The 17,546-nt window shown below is 41.7% G+C and overlaps 1 protein-coding gene across 2 annotated transcripts in view, besides 3 other annotated features; it reads right to left on the bottom strand.

The window, feature by feature from the left end:
- CLVS1 (clavesin 1) overlaps nucleotides 1–17,546 on the bottom strand; it is a 536,782-nt gene that overhangs the window by 415,779 nt on the left and 103,457 nt on the right. The window lies entirely within an intron of this gene.
- Nucleotides 7,167–7,840: an enhancer, noted in NCBI's record as "NANOG-H3K27ac-H3K4me1 hESC enhancer chr8:61990570-61991243 (GRCh37/hg19 assembly coordinates)". NCBI's record gives its function as "activates a minimal SCP1, AML or CMV promoter by ChIP-STARR-seq in naive H9 embryonic stem cells {active_cell/tissue: H9 hESC(naive)}" and the evidence as "EXISTENCE:reporter gene assay evidence [ECO:0000049][PMID:30033119]".
- Nucleotides 7,841–8,515: an enhancer, noted in NCBI's record as "NANOG-H3K27ac-H3K4me1 hESC enhancer chr8:61989895-61990569 (GRCh37/hg19 assembly coordinates)". NCBI's record gives its function as "activates a minimal SCP1, AML or CMV promoter by ChIP-STARR-seq in primed H9 embryonic stem cells {active_cell/tissue: H9 hESC(primed)}" and the evidence as "EXISTENCE:reporter gene assay evidence [ECO:0000049][PMID:30033119]".
- Nucleotides 9,030–9,270: a silencer, noted in NCBI's record as "fragment chr8:61989140-61989380 (GRCh37/hg19 assembly coordinates)". NCBI's record gives its function as "represses an EF-1alpha promoter that drives an FKBP-Casp9 reporter gene in an ReSE screen in phorbol 12-myristate 13-acetate-treated (for megakaryocytic differentiation) K562 erythroleukemia cells {active_cell/tissue: K562(+PMA)}" and the evidence as "EXISTENCE:reporter gene assay evidence [ECO:0000049][PMID:32094911]".

Raw genomic sequence — 17,546 nt, 5'->3', positions numbered from 1 at the left:
GGGGTTTCACCGTGTTAGCCAGGATGGTCTCAATCTCCTGACCTCGTGATCCGCCCGCCTCGGCCTCCCAAAGAGTGCTGGGATTACAGGTGTGAGCCACTGTGCCCTTTTTTTTTTTTTTTGGTAGGGATGGGGTTTCACCATTTTGGCCAGGCTGGTCTCGAATTCCTGACCTCAAGTGACCCACCTGCCTCGGCCTCCGAAAGTGCTGGGATTACAGGCATGAGCCACCGCACTCCGCCAGGTCATGCATTTCATTGTTACATTCTCCTTTGTTTCTTTTCCACAAATCTCAGTAAAATGTGCAACTGCCTGAACTTTTGCTTGGGGCTTTTTTTCTCCTTATATCTAGTCTTCTAATCATAGATTGAGAGGCTGTTATTGATTTGTTTGTTTAATAAACATTGAGAGGTTGTCGGGGATGCAATGATGAGAGAGAAGAGACATGATTTCTACCGTCATGAAGATTGGGGTCTAGCGAAGGAGACAAGTATTAACCAATAATGCCATGCCATAGACCTACTTACATGTTTTGGGACAGCGGAAAAGTAATAATTGTTGTTGTACTATTTCATTAAGAACTTTGAAATAAGTCACACATATTTATTACAAGGCTATGGATTTTCAGCCTCCGGATAGTATACAGAAATAAAACAGTGACATTATTCAACCCTCTTAGAATCATGGTTGGCAAAACTGACTGGCAGGACATTGCTCCCTTCCAAATACCTGCATCATTTCTCATATTTTCCCAGGTTTCTTCAAGTTGCTGCTCAATCCCTTTCAACGTTTTGCTAATATAGCAGTTCTGATGTATTTTTTCATTCCACTAATTCCCTTTCCTGGCAAAACATTTTCCTGGTATTGACATACCAATTTTTGTACTATTATGTGAAAACAAGATATCTATGACTTTCTACTCTAAGACATCTTATACCTGGCTAGTTTCATTCCCATTCCAATAAACTGAAAACTTGGAAAATACTTGAATGCCTCACCTGTTTCATCAGCCTCTTCTATCTCTACCCCCAATGACTAGGTTTTGGGGAGACAGTTTCAAACTTTTAGATCAGTATTGGGATTTCTCTGCAGCTTGTCTCTTCTATTTCAAGAAACTTTCACAGGTTTTTACATTACACATCCCAAGACAATCTTTCATTATCCACTTACATTTAAATTTCACATATCTAAATATATATGCAAGGTTTGTAGCTTACAGCTCTTTCCACTTCTCATTGTCTTCCCCCATCTCAGAGTTTCCCAACCTTGGCACGATTGACCTTTTGGGCAAAATAAATCTTTGTTGTGAGGAGCTATCCTGTGCCTTGCAGGATGTTTAGCAGCATCTCTGGCTTCTACTCACTAGCTAGTAGTAGAACTCTCTCCTCCATTGCTCCAATTGTGACAATCAAAAATATTGCCAAATTCTGAAGGGGAAAGAGGACAACACGGGAGGGGAGGGCAAAATCACCCCTGGTTGAGAACTCCCCACCTTAAAGTCTCTATTCTTTTTCCACCTGATGTTGGTTTTCTTCAGGTGGGTTATATTACAAGTTGTCTAGTTGTCCAGGTTTGCCTGTGACTAAATGGTTCTCCAGGAGGTAGAATTTTCAGTGCTAAAATAGATAAAATAATAGGAAAACCAGAACAAATTTTAATGGACGATATAGTCTTCAATCCTTGAAAATTCACCAATATCTTTTATTCTGCCAGGTAAGTGTTATCTTGTCTGGTATTGAATTCTCAATCTTAGTCCTATCTTCTCAGTAGCCTAAGGATGTTATTATTTACCCCATTTTCTAGCATAAAGGGGAATACATTTTAAAAAATTCAGTCTAGTCTGATTGTGACCCTTTCTTAGTAATTTGTTCTTCCCAGCTGGGAACTTGTAAGATGTTATTTTTATCATTAGGGGTCAGGAAATTTACCAGAATATAGTAAATGTACATCTTTATTTCGCCCCACCCAATCAATCCCACCAGGAATTCATTTAATTCTCTCAAACTCCAGACTCATAAATTTCTTCAACGCAGGAAAATTTTCTTCTACCATGTACTCAATTATTCTTTCCTCCATCTCCATCTTTTTTCTTCTTCTGAAATTTCTTTAATCCATGTATCAGGTTTCATAGATCTATATACTCTGTTTTTTTCACTATTTGCTACTCAGTAATGGCCATTTTCTCCTTTAATTTACCTACCAATTTTCCAATGTTAAATAACATCCTGGGTTTGTTATCCCAGAAAATGTTTTCGGTACTGCACTTGAATCTCCCTAAGGCTCCTATTCTGTTCACGTTGATGCCTGTCTTCTCCCGTTGCTCAGTTTCATTAGGGTCCAGGTCTCAGTCTTTGTGTTCTCCCTGCCTCTGGCTCCCAAACCCCCTCAGTTGGGCTGCTCTTCTCCTTTGTACACTGGCCCTCAGGTACAACTCCTGGAACTCCTTGAATGGTGGAAGATGCAGTCATATTTTCCCAGGCGGCCCACTGGCTGCTAGGTCCCTGGCAAGGCACCAAGTTGATGCCTCTCTGCTCTCTGGCCTTCTCACACTCATCCAGCCTAAAAGTAGAGAAAGTGGGAACCCCTTTATTCAGGACCACCATGGCACCTTGGGAGGCAGAGGAGAGTGGCACGTATAGTTACCGAGTCCAGTGTTACACTCTCCCTTTTATTTTCCCTTCATTTTTTCCTTCTCAAATGATCTTCCTTTCTTTACATAGATTCTGTTTTCCTACTTACAACATTTTCCTTCTTTCTGAAGAATTTATTTTCACACTTCTTGAAACATAGGTTGACTGGTGACAAACCTCCTTAATGTTTGTTTGTCTGAGAACGTCTTTATTTCTTCTTCTTTTTTTTTATGTTTAAGACAGGGTCTTTCTCTGTCGCCCAGAGGCTCAAGCATCTCATCTCACCCTCCTTAGTAGCTGAGACTACAGGCATGTGCAACCATGCCAGACTAATTTCTTGTAGAGATGGGGTTTCATCATGTTGCCCAGGCTGCTCTTGAACTCCTGAGCTCAAACAATCCTCCCACCTCAGCCTCCCAAAGTGCTGGGATTACAGGCATGAGCAACTGCACCTGGCCTATCCCTTCCTTTTGAAGGACAATCTCTCCAGACACAGAATTCTAGGTTAGTGTGTCCTTTCTTTCAATACTTTAAATATTTCACTCCACTCTCACATACATGGGTTCTGAAGAGAACTATGATGTGATTCTTATCTTCTCTAGGTAAGGTATTTCCCCACCCTCCTACCACCAGCTTCTTTCAAGATTTTTCTGTTTGTCTTTGATTTTCTGCAGTTTAAATATTATCTACCAAGGCACAGTTTTTTGTTGTTGTTGTTGTTTTTGTTTGTTTGTTTGTTTCTTTGTTTTGGTATTTTTCCTGATTCATGCTCTCTGAGCTGCCTGGATCTGTGATTTGGCATCTATCATTAATTTTAGAAAATTCTCAGTCATTATTCCCTCAAATATTTTTTCTCTTCCTTTTTCTTTTTCTTTTCTTTCTAGTATTTCCATTACGTATTACATCTTTTGTAATTGTCCTACAACTCTTACATATACTGTGCCTTTTTAAATCTTTTTCTCTTTGCATGGTTTTGCAAGTTTCTATTGACATTTCTTTAAGCGCACTGACTTTTTTCCTTGGCCATGTCCAGTGTATTGAAGCTCATCAAAGACATTATTTCTGTTGAATTTTTTTTTATTGCTAGTATTTCCATTTGATTCTTAGAGTTTCCATCTCTATGCTTACCTTACCCATCCATTCTTGCATGTTGTTCACTTTTTCAATTAGAGCCCTTACCGTATTAATTGTCTTGAATTTCCACTGTGATAATTCCAACATCTCTGCCATATATAAGTCTGGTTCTAATGCTTGCTTTGTCTTTTGAAACTGTGCTTTTGTCGTTTAGTATGACTTGTAATTTTTTATTGAAAGCTGAATGGGATGTACTGGGTAAAAGGAACCCAATACTGGTTCTCATAGAGGTTTCTGCTCCTGGGTTTCTGCTTCAGTGAGCTGTGATTTTCTGTAACTTCCTGTCTGTCTCTCTAATTTGGGAAAAAATGGTTTGTCCTATGACCCAACTCTCTCATGGATCTAGAAAGAGTTGTTGATTTTCAGTTTGTTAAGTTTTTTCTTGCTGTGACTGTGGAAGGGATGACTTCTAATTTTCTTATACACCAGACTGGAAGCCAGAAGTTCTTTATTCTGTTTATAACATCATCACCAACATGCCCATCTCTGGAGACCAGGATACAATTTATTTTATTTTTCTCACCAAGGCTCTTCTCACTAACTCCAGGTTCTCATAAGGGTCCCAGGAGAAAAATCCTGCAGCAATCCTCCCTAACTGAATCAGTCAGAGGTGGGGCCATCCTTACCCCCTGTAGCTCTTAACATGCTTGTTGGCCTCAGCAAGCTTCGGCTCAGGATAGGGGTATGTGCTTGGGGGAAGCTTGGACACACTTATGTTGCCATCTCCCAAGAACTTTCTTAATCCAGTTGCACCCAATTGATTGCCAAATCATGTACATTCTGCCTCTTTTTCTTACTGCCACCAGCCCAGCCCAGGCCCTCATTCCTTCTGCTCTCTCTTCTTCAGAGGGCACTCTATCAGCTCTCTGCAGATCTCTTCCCAAGCAACTCAGTCCAGTCCTAGCAGCAAAGCACAACTTGGATCATTTCAGTGCCTCCTCAGAAACCTTCAGTGTCTTCCCAATTCTTTCCAAATTAAATACAACATTCCTAGTCCTAACACTTAAGACCAATTTTTAATCTTAATTCTCATTGATCTCCTACTCCCAACCAAACTAAGATTGTAGACATTTTCTGAACACTCAGCCATTTCTTATTCCATACATTTGTGTTATCATTTCAGTTCCGCCACCCAAAATGCTTTCTCAGTTGCTGAATTCTTATCTATTCTTCAAACACCACCTCTTTTATGAATCTTTTCTCATCCTTACAGCCAAGCGCTAACTCTTGCTGGCTCACTTCCTCTCTCCTTTGTGAACTTCCAGGCCACTTTCACTTCCAGCATTTATCAATCTTTTATTAAAGGATTGCTGTCTTTTGGGCATCTATCTTTTCTACCTATGATATTTCTAGTTCTGTAAGGACAGAGTCTGTACCTACTAATCTCCATATTCTTCCAAAACAATCAGCACAATGCTTTGCAAACAATAGTTACTCAACAAATATATCTTTAATTTAACCAAAAGCAAGTTATTTTAAGAAGGCAATCCGTGGGTTTTAGCCCATTCATTATGGTTTTGATGTATTGAATAAAGTAGATTACAGTATATCCTTGACATTCACAAAGGAAATAAATGAATCCCAAGTGCTAGAACTCAGAGATTTTCATAGTTGTTTTAAAATCGCCCTTTATTGTTAAAGGGGGATTCTGTCAGTATCTATGTGTTTACCAACTCTCCACATGAAAACTACATTATTTTCTATCTTTCTTTAACTTTTATCTTTTAAGTGATGACTGTTTTACCCAAAGAAGCAAAGTTTGTATCACCTCATGAATATTATTATACATATGTTGGCAATACATAACCAGGGGAGCTACTGGTGACCAAGTAGACTTGTAATATATAGTGTTTTTTTATCGTTCCAAAATGACTAATTACTATAAATTATGCACCTTAAGCCACTTTTGTTTTGTTTTGTTACAAATAGTGACCACCACAAATGTTAAGTCCTTACTGTTAATAGAAAATACTATATTAAGAAGAATATTCACGATATTTGCTACTTTCCATAGATAAAATTTAGTGCCCACAATAAATTATTCTGAGTTTGAAGTATTACCCCCATGCATCCATTCATTTCTTCCTCCACCTCTTTAGAAACAACACAGCTTCAATAATAATCAGCATCAATATTCTTAGCCACTAGGGTAAGGTAAACTTTTTCTACTGACTTCTTTTTATTGTGATGAAATAGACATTACACAAAATTTACCATTAGTAACATTTAGCACATTCACGATACTGTGAAACCATCACTGCTGTCTAGTTCCAGATCTATTGACGTGTTTTTTTTTTCCTAATGGCTTTTTGCTAAAATAAATTGGGACTACTTTCTAAAATGTAAGCAGCTATTAATTTTGAAGAGGTAGATGTTTTAAATCTCTGACCTTCATCAGCTTTTGTAACTCAAACAAATAAACAGCCCTCAAAAAGCATCACAGTCTGGTCCCTCTGTTAGTCTATGCAGGGCACGCTGAAAGTCACAGGTAATTGAGATTCATTTGACTTGGGAGGACCAGGCAGCAACATGGTTTCTAGCTCCTGGCAGTATGTTCCTGGAACTCCAACAAACCTGAATGAGGCACAGGAGACCCAAGACCTTGGCACATTTTCACCTAAGCCAACTCACACCATTAAACCTCAGTTAGGAAATATCAATAACTTCCAAAAAGTGGATTGCAGTTTAACATATTACCAGCTGTCAGCACCTCCGGAACTAAATTGAATGGCCAGGGAATTGAGATATGAAAAGTAAAGAAAGAAATCACACGGGCCTCCCTTAATATCATATGTGACATATCCCTTCAGCCTCACCAAACCACCCCTCCCCTGAAGAGGGAATAAAACATAAAGAGTAAAAACAAAAGGTTTTGTTTTGCTTTGTTTTTAAAGAAAGAAAGACAGTGCAATTATAAAATTCCAGAAGTATAAAGCTGATGTCTCAAACACCACTACTCTTTTTACTCTTATATTTTATAATCTAAACCAGACGGTTTTTGAGTTTTCCCCCAATAACGTCTTTCAGAGAAAGACGTTTTGATGTTTTGGTCTTGGCGTGTTTTTGATCTTAAATTATTTCTACCTATTTTTTTCTCAACATTCACAAATGTTGTTCTTGGAAAATTCTACAAATAAATATACTCTCACTGGGATAATTTGACTTTTCAGCTAACCATTTTAACATTGAACATTATATAATAAGGTAATAGTTTTTAAACACTGGAATTTAATTTAAAAATGAATTTATATAACTTCATTGTTGCAATGATATCCAATTCTTTGAAAATGATTAGGGAAACATCATTAGCCATGGAGAGCTAATAGGCAAACTCAAAAGGAGTCTCTCAAGATACAGAAGAAAGCCTTGAGGCTTCCACACTGGTGGATTTTGTTGACTAACACCCCAAAAATAAGAGAAGGAACATTAGTGGACTCAAAAGTGTCCCCCAAACTTGTTAGATTTATTATTAGAGTAAAAATCCAATCCGTTTCAGAATGAATTAGATGAAGGCTTCTGAGATTTCACATTGAATCTTAGCTTTACAGGCATTCCAGGCTCATAGAAAACCCAACAGCAATACAAATCAAGATGGCCATGAAAATAGATGTAAGCTGCAACTAGAATTTCCACACTTCTGACCAAGACATTGAAATGTCACCATGCCTGCCCTCCCACCCTGGATTGATTGCTGAAGTTGGCAGATAAACAAACACACACTCTAAGTAGCCAGGTGTCCCCGTCCAAATCAGTCCCAATTTAGCAAATAAAAGTAATCACCTGGCCCTCGTCACATCACACAAGCGGGCAATTCCGCTGTGTGTGTCAAGGTCACACAGACAGGTTAACATAATCACACTGCAGAATGCAGAACAAATAAAGCTCTCTCCTTCCCACAGCCCATACCACACAGCTTCTTTTATCAGCTGCCTCATGCGCCCCGGAGACACACAGCCCTAGCACGCAGACAGGCCTGCCTCGGATCCTGACCCAGGGAAGCCTGCACTGGGGCTCTGTTTAAAACTTCAGATCAGCGCTCCCCTCGGCTTCCTCCGCCCCAGTACTACTTGCTAAGACAATGGGACAGCAGGGGAGGTCTGATCCCAAGTCAAGCCAGCTCAGTCTATCTCAAGAACACAAAAGCCACCCGAGGAGCCGGAGCCCCCTTCCTGCCCAGTGCATGGCAACGCAGCAGCTCACACATCACGAGGCTTGCAGAGCAGCGGGCCCCCACCAAAATCCTCGCAGATGGCTCCGGCATGGCCTCGGGCCCACTCATGGGCAGCCCTGTGCTCCTCCCAGTGCTGGGAGGGAGCAGAGCATTTCCTCTCTTTCTCTTCTCCTTCAAGCACCTATTTAAAAATCCTGGTCTGCTGGCACAAGCTTTTCGAGTATTTCATTTGACCAACACAGTGAAACCTCGTCTCTAATAAAAATACAAAAATTAGCCAAGCATAGTAGTGCACGCTTGTAATCCCAGCTACTTGGGAGGCTGAGGCAAGAGAATCACTTGAACCCAGGAAGCAGAGGTTGTGGTGAGCCGAGATCGCGCCACTGCGCTCCAGCCTGGGCCACAGAGTGAGACTCCGTCTCAATAATAATAATAATAATAATAATAATAATAATAATAATAATAATAATAATACTTTTAGAGGGTCCCTTGACTTTAAGAGCTTAGGAAGAGTTGAATGATATCACTTTCAAGAAAATTAGATCGGCTGGGCGCAGTGGCTCACGCCTGTAATCCCAGCACTTTGGGAGGCCGAGGCGGGTGGATCACGGGGTCAGGAGATCCAGACCATCCTGGCTAACAGGGTGAAACCCGTCTCTACTAAAAATACAAAAAATTAGCGGGTGTGGTGGCAGGCGCCTGTAGTCCCAGCTACTCGGGAGGCTGAGGCAGGAGAATGGCGTGAACTCTGGAGGCGGAGCTTGCAGTGAGCCGAGATCGCGCCACTGCACTCCAGCATGGGCGACAAAGCAAGATTCCGTCAAAAAAAAAAGATAAAGAAAATTAGATCATACGGTTTCTAAGCTAAGTCCTGACCCAAGCCCTGTATTTCAAGGACCAAATGTAAAATATAAAACGGGAGTCCCATTCTCAGAACAAAGCCTCAGACCACGCCTCAGGGAAACGCAGATCATCCGCAACAGGCACAGAATGGCTGAGCCGGGGACTTGCAGGGAGGAAAAGGGTAATATGGGAAATATACCATTGCATTAAATGGGTGCAGGGACTCTGGCCTTTGGTGTAGGGACTCTGGCCTTCTTCCAGTGCAGCACATTAAAACCAATATCAGGGGTGGTGCAGCAGGAGCTGCAGAGATGACTCGTTCTCCTGACAAATAGCCACCCAAACAGTTGGCAAACTGCCCTGCTCCACCCATCCTGGTGATCTTACCACAAATGGAAGCATCTGGCACATTCATCATCTTCTCTGGGGCATGAATGAATGCTTAGGCTGTAGATAATTTAGCAGGAATATATGTGTGTATTATCATGCAGATAGGACAATTATATCATAATAGAAATGGAACCCGAATCGTCTTTGCCTGACTTTTGATCCTGCCAGCACTGCAGAAAAACACTCCCTGATATGTTAGATAGTCAGGAAATGGAAGCACAGAAGGAGAGAGAGATTACAGGCTACTCAGTACATTTGCTAACACGTGCTGTGATCTTAGCCCTTTCTTGTGAATATCTGATTTCACAGGGAAAAGGAAAAGGCTAAGGAGAGACAAAGAGGTCCCCACCCAGCATGCATGCGTTTTTTTCCATACCAATGTGTAACTGAAAAATAAACATAATCATAAACTGTAAATAGGGGAAAAGCATAGAACAGACCAAATGCTACAAAATGGTTCTTTTAAAAGGGAGAGAGAGGAGGAAAGGAAGAGAGACAGAGAAGGAGGGAGGGAGAGAGAAAGAATAAATAAATGAAAGAAGAAAGACATTTGTAAAACTGACTTTTGCTACAGTATTGTAACAAATGGGTAACTTTCTTTTGAGTCATGCCAGGTTACACACCTTGTTTCATTTCATGATGAGTTTATACATAGATAGACACAGGGAGAGATAAATTATTTTCTAATTTAGATTTTAAACTCAGTAAAGGCAGGGACCCTGTATTCCTTATTTCATTCCACAGCATCAACTCTTGGTAGAAAAACTAATATTAATTTTTCTAATCTAACTGGACAGGAGATGGAAGATGTAAGGGAAGAAGGAAGGAGGCTGGATAGGATGTGTGAGAAAAAGTTAGTCTCAGCTTGAACTAATAGAGCAGTGAAAGGGAGGAGGCAAAGGCAGCACAGTGGTACCAGCCTTGTATCAGCCACACTGCATGGGCAATCAGGGTGCTGCTGGGCCAAGACAGAGGAGGAAACGTAAAAGGGGGAAGGTGAAAAAGGGTGTAAGAGATCTGAGGGAAATCAGTGCCCAACCAGTCATTCATATTTATCAGACAATCATAATTAGGTGCTTATAATTCAGGAAATACTTTTACTTGCATCATGCCTGGAGTAGTTTCCATCTTAGTTTAAGGTTAGAGAGGTGTCACCAATGTAAAAGGTACTTCATTTTAATTTGGATCCATTTCATGCATTTAGGGAAATGTAACAGCCCTCTTAGCACAGCTCAGATCCTCCCCTTTCAGCCTTTGCAGATGTTGGAGCTTTGTCAACACTGGAGGGTGCTTATGGTTTTTTATCCAGATAAACTTGGGGGTGCTTGCTGATCTGTCATAATCCTTTTGAACTTTTGGTCCTGTTTTGGATCAACCCATTGCTCTTTCAGCTGTAGAGAAATGAATGGCCTCTGGGGAGAATGATCTCCACACACCTCTTTCATTTGCTGCTGACTGCTACGTGAAAATAGCCACCTGCCACCGTCTAGCATCCCACCGGCCCCTTCCCCTTGAGCAGTCCACAGTGCCCCCCATTCCTCAAGCATTGAGGCTGCTGGAAAGTCCTTCCCTTCAGCCTGGGTCACGGATGGCATGCTGCCTTCGGAAGAGGTGTAAGTAAAGATTAGAGCAGGATCATAGAAACTGTGTATGCCCGCCTGAACAACAGGAAAAAGAAATCAAAAAGCATTTAAAAGGGGGGGGAGGATGATTTTCTATTTCAAAAGTGTGCTTCCCCCCAGATTCTCTGAGATCAGATAAAACATTTAGAAGCCCTCTCTATTCATCCAAGCTGGGAGTAGTCTTTCATTTCTGTTAATTCCAAGGGTATGTATTCATTTAACATTTGTTAAATGCCTACTAAGTGTCAGGCACTTTATATTCATCTTTGTTTTTACAAACAATCCTGCAAGGTAATATTATTGTCTACACTGCCCCCACCATCCACCCACTCCCACAATCATCATTTTAAGATGGGAAAGCTGAGGTAAAACAGAATAAGTAACTTGGTAATGACCATGCTGCTAGTACACAAAGTATCCAGGTTCAAATCCAGGTCAGGATCAGATCACAGATCTTACTCATCTACAAAAGCAAAGACATAGGTTGAGCTTTCTGCCTCACAGGTCTCATGGTCTAATGAAAAGAGAGATTTTATTTGCATATATACATATATATACACATATATATATACACATATACTTATATATATATAACATATATATACACATATACTTATATATATATAACATATATATATACACATATACTTATATATATATAACATATATATATACACATATACTTATATATATATATATACACACACACACATATTTAAATTTGAGACAGGGTCTCGCTCTGTTGACCATGCTGGAATGCAGTGATGGGATCATGGTTCACTGCAGCTTCTACCTCCCTGGCTCAATCAGTCCTCTCACCTCAGCCTCCCAAGTAGCTGGGACTACAGGCATGCACCACCACACCCAGCTAATTTTTGCATTTTTTGCAGAGACAAGATTTAGCTACGTTGTGCAGGCTGGTCTCAAACTCCTAGGCTCAAGCCATGCTTCCGCCTTGGCCTCCCAAAGTGCTCAGATTACAGGTGTGAGCCACCATGCCTGGCCTTACATATTTATTTTTAGTTATAATTTTTTTTTTTTTTTTTTTTTTGAGACGGAGTCTCACTGTTGCCCAGGCTGGAGTGCAGTGGCGCGATCTTGGCTCACTGCAGGCTCCGCCCCACTGGTTCACGCCATTCTCCTGCCTCAGCATCCCGAGTAGCTGGGACTACAGGCGCCCGCCACCTAGCCCGGCTAATTTTTTGTATTTTTAGTAGAGACGGGGTTTCACCGTGTTAGCCAGGATGGTCTCGATCTCCTGACCTCGTGATCCGCCTGCCTCGGCCTCCCAAAGTGCTGGGATTACAGGTGTGAGCCACTGCGCCCGGCCTTTAGTTATAATTTTTTATAACAGTACTGTATTAGACTATGGGCTCATGAAAAGCAAACTCTATGCTTAGTAATATCTATCGTTAGATATGATAGATATTATTTAAGTTATAATAAATTATATTATTATTATAGCAAAGCAAATGGTACTGCCCACTAAACACTCAGTAAGTGGGTGATGAACAGGTATGCAAATGGGGAAAGAATAAGTGAATGAACAAACAGATTCTACAAAGAATCACTGCCCACTTTCGAAGAGACAAGTCTCATTTGTGGCTTTGTTGGTTTCCTTACAAACATATCTTCATGACAACATATCTCCATGCGTTTAAAATGTAGTCATGGTTTTAGAAGCTATTAGAAAAAGCCAATGAAAGGAAATCTGACAGCGTATGGTTTGTAGAGGCCTAAAGCTACGAACATTTTACACCACTGAATACAGTAATGTCCACAAGGCAAAGAAATTATGGTAAGAACAAGCAATATAGATAATTGTTCTAGTATCCAAGTAGATTGTAATTTTTTTTTCTGAAGAGATTTAGAAGCAGAAGATATGTATCTGATTCTTCCTAAACTTGACAAGCATTTAATTAGCAAATGAACTAGAACTTAGAAGGAGTGTAGTAAGAAATTTTTACTTCAGAATTGAAACCCAACACTATACTGCTCCCATTCCTTATCATAAATATAATAAGTGTAAAAATCAGACAAAAACAGCTCAACCCAGAGAAAGTGTTAAAACTACTGGTAATATAATATGATGAACAGAGGATAGCCACATACAAAAAAAGATTATAGATTTCAATGGAGGAAAGCCTTATCATTTCACTTGGAACTTATTATTCCATTTCACTGAGTTAGATTTTCCCAGAGACTTGAGATATTTAACCTAAAGGCAATAGCTAAGCAATTCTATTTGGAAAATGGTTTGTTCTCTAGCAAACATATACTTATGGTTCATGGTGTTATTTTATTTTATGTGAGAGTGTGAGCTGGGAAGTGGGATTTCATTCATTACATGAGCACCATAATCAAACCCCCATTGGTGTTATAAGTGAGAAGCAATGAATGGACCCATTAGCTGTGTTTACATTGGTTTTCTAAACTTTAATGCTGTAAATCAAATTTTTGTTAGTGTAATTTGCTAACTAACAAATGCATCTGTTTAGAATGCATCTTTCGTTGCTTTTCTTTTAAGTAAGGTTTGTTTTGGATGCATGCTTGGAATAAGAGAATTACCATACCAAATATTCAACCAAGATGAGCCATTAAAATATATAAGGTCTATAAATTAAAGTGTCATCCTTCAAACATCTTTAACCAAGAGAAATAAGAGGGGGTCTTAGGAAACTGTCAAAGGAATATTTACTTTTCATATTTTACACTAGAAACATGGATCTGGAATGCATCTTCATGGATGAGTGTTGAAGCTCTATAAGGGGATAAGATTAACAAAGAAAAATGCCACAGAGCGGGGAAGTGGACAGAGGACAGAGGCCTCAAGAAAATCTCTCCAGCTGGGTGTTGAAGGCAGCGGGTGAAGCTGAGGAAAGCAAAGGAGGAGCCAGGAAAGCTGGAGATGAACCGAGACGTGCAGCAGACAGATCACATGGAGAAAAGCATCCATCACTCTGGGCTTTGGGACTTCAGAGACTAGAAAGAGGTGGCCATTCACCCGCATCTAAGCAAGCCAGCGCAACATCTTTCCATGACTCAGATGCCTCCCTTGACACTTTGATGTGCCCTCACAGGGGCTCTCTTTCAACAGGCTGAATGAGGAAATAAGAGTGGCAGGGTGTGATTTGTGTGTGTGTGTGTGAAATTAAACAAAAGCACTGACAACAGAAACCACACCCTCTAAACTGGTTTTCTTTCTTAAAGATGTGTCAGTACACCTTGAAAGCTGACTTTCAAAGTCAACTTGTATGTGCATTTGCATGTACTTAAAGGAAAATGTCTTATTACCTAGCAGTCTACAGTCAGAATAAAACTCAAGAAAGTGTTACAAAGATATGTGACTGGGTAGGAAAAGGGCAGGTGAAATTTGGCGTAAGATACCATGGTATGCTAAAGAATGTCCCCCCACAACCAAAGGTATCCATATGCTCATCTGCAGAAGTTGTGTGTGTCACTTTATATGCCAAAGGGACTCTGCAGATGTGATTAAATTCAGGAACTTGAGCTGGGGAGATTATTGTGAACCATCTAGGTAGACCCTAAATGTTATTATGATGTCCTTATAAGAGAGAGGCCAAGGGAGATCTGACTGCATAGGAGGAAGTAGGAGACATGATTATGGAAGCAAGAGGTTAACGTGATGCCAGGAAGGGGCCACAAGCCTAGGAATGCTGGTGGCTTCCAGTAGCTACAAAAGTCAGGGAAACTGATCCTGCCCTACAGCCTCCAGAAGGCACCAGCCCTGCTGACACCTTGATTTCGGCACCCAATAAAAATGTTTTCAGACTTCTGGCTTCAGACCTGTCAGATACTTTCTTACAGCAGCAACAAGAAATGAACACACTTTGGAAAAATGTCTCCATTTGTAGCAAAACATGCAGTTGCATACTTTTCTCTGGTAAAGACGCGTTGGCCTCATAAATGGACTTTCCTCCAGGGTAGGCCTTTCTCTTTTTACTGCTGCTTCCACTGCATAGAACTGGGCTCACAGAATCTGCCCAAAACGTACTTAGTTACAGGTCAAGAGCGGATGTTGGTTCTGTAGACAGGAGCAGGAAGGTTTGAAAGAGGCTTAATGAAGGTGGGCAAGAGAGAAGAGGGTGCACCTACAGAAACTGTCTACATAGATCAAAGAGGAAGGACCCCAACCAGAGAACACTGTTTGAGACTCATAGGTGCTCCTTCAAGTCTCTATTTCTTTTTTATGTTAGAGACACAGGGTCTCACTCTGTCACCCAGGATGGGGTGCAGTAGTGGTGCAATCATGGCTCACTGTAGCCTTGATCTCCTGGGCTCAAGCAACCCTCCCACCTCAGCCTCCTGAGTAACTGGGACTACAGGTGTACACCACTGTGCCTGGATAATTTTTTAATTTTGTGTAGAGATGGGGTCTCCCAATGTTCCCCAGCCTAATTTTGAATTCCTGGGCTCAAGTGATCCTCCTGCCTTGGCCTCCCAGAGTACTGGGATTACAGGCATGAGCCACCACACCCTGCCAGGCCTCTGAATTGAGGAGCATTTCCTCACGTCAGCAAGAAGAGGGGTGGAAGATGGGAAAACAATAGGAAATTCTTGAAGACTTGAGGCAATGTGCTGCTTTATTGAAAAATGTCATCAAAATGCTGGTTGCCCTTAGGAACAGTATTGGCAATAAAACAAAAAGGATAACTTTCATAAAATCACAATATAATCCTCCTCGGAATCATGACTGTAGCCCAGCAAGCAAGCCTCAATGGTGGGCCAATGTTCTAGAAGGCCCTGAGGATAAAGCTAAAATAAGAGGAGTGCATGTGATATGAGAGACGCACACAAAACACAGAAAATATCCCATAGGAAGCTTGCAGAGATAGGAAAGTAAGCCATAGGCAGAAGGCAGAACCCTGAGGACAGGGCCTCAGGGGCAGGCAGAACACGAGGCAGCCAAGGGGAGATAAAAGGAGCCATTCAAGAAAAACCTGGAGAGGCCAGGCACTGTGGCTCACGCCTGGAATCCCAGCACTTTTGGAGGCCGAGGCGGGTGGATCACAGGAAGTCAGGAGTTTGAGACCAACGTGGCCAACATGGCAAAACCCTGTCTCTACTAAAAATACAAAAATTAGCCAGGCATGGTGGTGCATGCCTGCAGCTACTTGAGAGGCTGAGGCACGAGAATCACTTGAGGAGAATCACCCGGGAGGCAGAGGCTATAGTAAGCCAAGATCGCGCCACTGCACTCCAGCATGGGAGATAGAGCGAGACTCTGTCTCAAAAAATAAATAAATAAAATAAAATAAAAAGAAAGAAAAAAAGGAAAGCCTCAAGAATGTGGTGGGGAAGTCAGAGGACTTGCAAGAGCAACACTGGCAGAAGGAACAGATAAGGATGGGGCAGATGTTGACAGTGGTAATGAGGGTATAGTGTTGGGAGCAGAACTGAGAACAGTAAGTGAACTAGGTGAGAGGAAGCAGAAACACAAGGCAAGGTGCATGAGATGCAGAGGAAGACACAAGCCCAGCCACAGGGTCAAGATGTCTCAAGCACTGATGTGTCCTATCTGCTATAAGATGCACCAAAGAAAGTGTGACTGCTGATAAATACTCAAGTATGCAAATAATTTACTTTCAAAAGGAAGGAAGGGAAAACAGAGGAAGGAAGGAAGGAAGGAAGAGAGAGAGAAAGAAGGAAAGGAAAAAGTAGAAAGATTTAGTGTCGCTCTTACTGATGTGATTTCTCAAAATGTTGGAAAGCGAGGAAGTCGGAGCTGGTGCACTGGGAATGGCCTATGACCTACATTGTAAAAAGAATTCTGGCTGGGCGCGGTGGCTCATGCCTGTAATCCCAGCACTTTGGGAGGCTGAGGCAGGTGGATCACTTGAGGTCAGGAGTTCGAGAGCAGGCTGACCAACATGGTGAAAGCCAGTCTCTACTAAAAAATTACAAAATTAGCCAAGCATGATGGTGCGCACCTATAATTCCAACTACTTGGGAGGCTGAGGCAGGAGAATCACTTGAACTTGGAAGGCGGAAGTTGCAGTGAGCCGAGATCGTGCCACTGCACTCCAGCCTGGACAACAAGAATGAAACTCCATCTAAAAAAAAAAGAATTCCTCAGTCTGCACTGTGGAAGAGGGACAAATGGAAATGCAAGACAGAGTCTCAGGCTGGAGTAGAAATCTAGAAAAGGAACATTAGTGGGAGACCCTTCCTAGGCAGAGGGGGCATCGGTAGGAAGAGAAGGAACAATTCGAGAGACCCCGGGAGGTGTGTGTGTGGGGAGCAGATGAAGGAAGGGGCACAGGACAAGAGGATGCAAACCCTGGGAGAGCCAGAAAGTGTGGCAAGGAGGCCACCTTATCTCCCCTGGCTGGAGGCCTGGCTTGCAGCAGGGACATGGGTGTAGGTAAATTGTAGAAGACTGGGAAATTACCAGAAAGCACACTGATGACCTCAGCATCCCCAATGACTCATGAGATGAGGGTATCTGCTGAGAATGAGGGGAGCAGGAATTGAGAATGGGTCTTGAGAGGAGTCGGGGGAGGCTATAAATATCTCCTAATTCATCAGCCCTAAGGGGTAGGTATGTGACTCTTCTGAACACCCTGCAAGCTTGAGGGCCACCAGTTAGAGGTTCCTACGCACCCAGCACAGTGCCAGCTGCTGTGTGTGTCTCTCCTTCTTGAGGAGATATGATTAGTGGGCCTAACTCACACAGCTCTCCCGCCCTGGAGTCTTAGCCATAGTGAAACTGTGTTAAGGCCTTGAAGAAGCTGT

Source organism: Homo sapiens, chromosome 8 (assembly GCF_000001405.40).
Source record: "Homo sapiens chromosome 8, GRCh38.p14 Primary Assembly".
Taxonomy (NCBI): domain Eukaryota; kingdom Metazoa; phylum Chordata; class Mammalia; order Primates; family Hominidae; genus Homo; species Homo sapiens.
Note: the sequence above shows the minus strand (reverse complement) of the source record. Positions and strands in the feature narration are given on the sequence as shown.